Below are 4,062 nucleotides of genomic sequence, written 5' to 3' on the forward strand. Positions count from 1 at the left end.
GAGGCAGAAGAATTGCTTGAACCCAGGAAGTGGAGGTTTCAGTGAGCCAAGATTGTGCCACTGCACTCCAGCCTGGGCGACAGAGCGAGACTCAGTCTCAAAAAAAAAAAAATGCTGAAACAACAGGGCATATACAAGCAAAAGATTTAATTTTGGCTCCTACACCACACCACATAGGAAAATTAAATGAAAGTGGATCAAAGATATAAATGTAAGGGCTAAAACCATCAAACTCTGAAGAAAACATAGGAGTAAATCTTCATGACCTTCATTTTGTTGATGGATTCTTAGTAATGACATGAAAAGCACAATCAACAAAAGAAAAAAATAGATAAATTGGACGTCATCAAAATTAAAATGTTTGTGCACCAAAGGACACCATAGAGTGAAAAGTGAAGCCAGTGAATGGGAGAAAATATTTGCAGACCATTTTCTGATAAATGTCTAGTATCCAGAATATATAAAGAACTCTTAGAACTCAACAACAAAAAGACAACCCAGTTACAAGATAGGCAAAGAACTTGAATAGCCTTTTCTCCAAAGAAGACATACAAATGGCCAACAAGAAATGAAAAGCGCTCAGATAAAATTGGAGGGTGTTCTAAGATGGTCGAATAGGAACGGCTGCGTTCTGCAGCTCCCAGCGTTATTGACACAGAAGACAGGTGATTTCTGCATTTCCAACAGAGGTACGTGGTTCATCTCATTGGGACTGGTTAGACAGTGGGTACAGCCCACAGAGGGCAAGCTGAAGCAGGGCGGTGCGTTGCCTTACCCGGGAAGCACGAGGGGTTGGGGGATTTCCCTTTCCTAGCCAAGGGAAGCCATGACAGACTACCTGGAAAAACGGGGCACTCCCCGCCCAAATACTGGACTTTTCCCAAGGTCTTAGCAACCGGCGGACAAGGTGATTCTCTCCCGTGCCAGACTCAGCGGGTCTCATGCCCACAGAGCCTTGCTCACTGCTAGCACAGCAGTCTGAGAGGCGGCAGCCTGGCTGGGGGAGGGGCATCCACCATTGCTGAGGCTTGAGTAGGTAAACAAAGCTCAAACTGGGCGGGGCCCACCACAGCTCAACAAGGCCTACTGCCTCTAGACTCCACCTCTGTAGGCAGGGCATATCTGAATAAAACGCAGCAGACAACTTCTGCAGACTTAAATTCCCTGTCTGACAGCTCTGAAGAGAGCAGGGTTCTTTCAGCATGGTGTTTGAACTCAGAACAGACAGACTGCCTCCTCAAGTGGGTCCCTCAGCCCCGTGTAGCCTAACTGGGAGACACCTCCCAGTAGGGGCTGATAGACACCTCATATAGGCAGCTGCCTCTCTGGGACAAAGCTTCCAGAGGAAGGATCAGGCAGCAATATTTGCTTTTCTGCAATCTTTGCTGTTCTGCAGCCTCCGTTGGTGGTACCCAGGCAAACAGGGTCTGGAATGGAACTCCAGCAAACTCCAACAGACCTGCAACTGAGAGATCTGAGTGTTAGAAGGAAAACTAACAAACAGAAAGGAATAGGATCAACATCAACAAAACGGTCATCCACACCAAAACCCCATCTGTAGGTCACCAACATCAAAGACCAAAGGTAGATAAAACCACAAAGATGGGGAGAAACCAGAGCAGAAAAGCTGAAAATTCTAAAAATCAGAATGCCCCTTCTCCTCCAAAGGATCACGGCTGCTCACCAGCAACAGAACAAAGCTGGATGGAGAATGACTTTGACGAGTTGACAGAAGTAGGCTTCAGAAGGTCCGTAATAACAAACTTCTCTGAGCTAAAGGAGGATGTTTGAACCCATCGCAAGGAAACTAAAAACCTTGAAAAAAGATTAGATGAATGGCTAACTAGAATAAACAGTGTAGAGAAGACCTCAAATGACCTGATGGAGCTGAAAACCATGGCATGAGAACTATGTGATGCACATACAAGCTTCAATAGCTGATTCAATGAAGTGGAAGAAATGGTATCAGTGATTGAAGATCAAAGTAATGAAATAAAGCTAGAAAACAAGGTTAGAGAAAGAAGAGTAAAAAGAAATGAACAAAGTCTCCAAGAAATATGGGCCTATGTGAAAAGGTGAAACCTACGTTTGATTGGTGTACCTGAAAGTGATGGGGAGAATGGAACCAAGTTGGAAAACACTCTTCAGGATATTATCCAGGAGAACTTCCCCAACCTAGCAGGACAGGCCAACATTCAAATTCAGGAAATACAGAGAAGACTGCAAAGATACTCCTCAAGAAGAGCAACCCCAAGACACATAATTGTCACATTCACCAAGATTGAAATGAAGGAAAAAGTGTTAAGGGCAGCCAGAGAGAAAGGTCAGGTTACCCATAAAGGGAATCCCATCAGACTAACAGTGGATCTCTCTGCAGAAACCCTACAACCCAGAAGAGAGTTGAGGCAAATTTTCATCATTCTTCAAGAAAAGAATTTTCAACCCAGAATTTCACATCCAGCCAAACTAAGCTTCATAAGTGAAGGAGAAATAAAATCCTTTACAGACAAGCAAATGCTGAGAGATTTTGTAACCACCAGTCCTGCCCTACAAGAGCTCCTGAAGGAAGCAGTAAACATGGAAATAAACAACTGGTAATAGCCACTCCAAAAACATGCCAAATTGTAAAGACCATCAGTGCTATGAAGAAACTGCATCAATTAGTGGGCAAAATAACCAGTGAACATCAAAATGACAAGATCAAATTCACATATAACAACATTAACCTTAAATGTAAATTGGCTAAATGCCCCAATTAAAAGACACAGACTGGCAAATTGGATTAACAAATAGACCACTAGCAAGTCTAATAAAGAAGAAAAGAGAGAAGAATCAAACAGATGCAATCAAAAATGATAAAAGGGGTATCACCACCAATCCCACAGAAATACAAATTACCATCAGAGAATATTATAAACACCTCTACACAAATAAACTAGAAAATCTAGAGGAAATGGATAAATTCCTGGACACATACACCTATGACCGGTGATGATGAGCTTTTTTTCATATGTATGTTGGCCACATAAATGTCTTCTTTTGAGAAGTGTCTGTTCATATCCTTCACCCACTTTTTGATGGGGTTGTTTTTTTTTTCTTGTAAAGTTGTTTAAGTTCTTTGTAGATTCTGGATATTAGCCCTTTGTCAGATGAGTAGATTGCAAAAATGTTCTCCCATTCTGTAGGTTGCCTGTTCACTCTGATGATAGTTTCTTTTGCTGTGCAGAAGCTCTTTAGTTTAATTAGATCCCATTTGTTAATTTTGGCTTTTCTTCCCATTGCTTTTAGTGTTTTAGTCATGAAGTCATTTGCCCATGCCTACGTCCTGAATGGTATTGCCTAGGTTTTCTTCTAGGGTTTGTTTTTTGTTTGTTTGTTTTGTTTTGCTTTTTTGAGACAGAGTCTTACCCTGTCACCCAGGCTGGAGTGCAGTGGCGCAATCTTGGCTCATTGCAACCTCCGCCTCCCGGGTTCAAGTGATTCTCCTGCCTCAGCCTCCAGAGTAGTTGGGACTACAGGCCCGTGCCACCATGCCTGGATTTTTTTTGAATATTTAGTAGAGATGGGGTTTCACTATGTTAGCCAGGATGTCTCAATCTCCTGATCTCGTGATCAGCCTGCCTCGGGCTCCCAAAGTGCTGGGATTACAGGCATGAGCCACTGTGCCCAGCCTAGGATTTTTATGGTTTTAGGTCTTATGTTTAAGTCTTTAATCCATCTTGAGTTAATTTTTGTATAAGGTGTAAGGAAGGGGTCCAGTTTCAGTTTTCTGCATATGGCTAGCCAGTTTTCCTAACACCATTTATTAAATAGGGAATCATTTCCCCATTGCTTGTTTCTGGCAGGTTTGTCAAAGATCAGATGGTTGTAGATGTGTGGCATTATTTCTATGGCCTCTGTTCTATTCCATTTGTCTATATATCTGTTTTGGTACCAGCACCATGCTGATTTGGTTACTATAGCCTTGTAGTATAGTTTGAAGTCAGGTGGCATGATGCCTCCAGCTTTCTTCTTTTTGCTTAGGATTGTCTTGGCTATGTGGGCTCTTTTTTGGTTCCATAT

The 4,062-nt window shown here is 42.4% G+C and overlaps 1 annotated feature.

The window, feature by feature from the left end:
- Nucleotides 901–1,401: an enhancer, noted in NCBI's record as "H3K4me1 hESC enhancer chr8:48664855-48665355 (GRCh37/hg19 assembly coordinates)". NCBI's record gives its function as "activates a minimal SCP1, AML or CMV promoter by ChIP-STARR-seq in naive H9 embryonic stem cells {active_cell/tissue: H9 hESC(naive)}" and the evidence as "EXISTENCE:reporter gene assay evidence [ECO:0000049][PMID:30033119]".

The sequence above is a fragment of the Homo sapiens genome, chromosome 8 (genome assembly GCF_000001405.40).
Source record: "Homo sapiens chromosome 8, GRCh38.p14 Primary Assembly".
In the NCBI taxonomy this organism is placed as follows: Eukaryota; Metazoa; Chordata; class Mammalia; order Primates; family Hominidae; genus Homo; species Homo sapiens.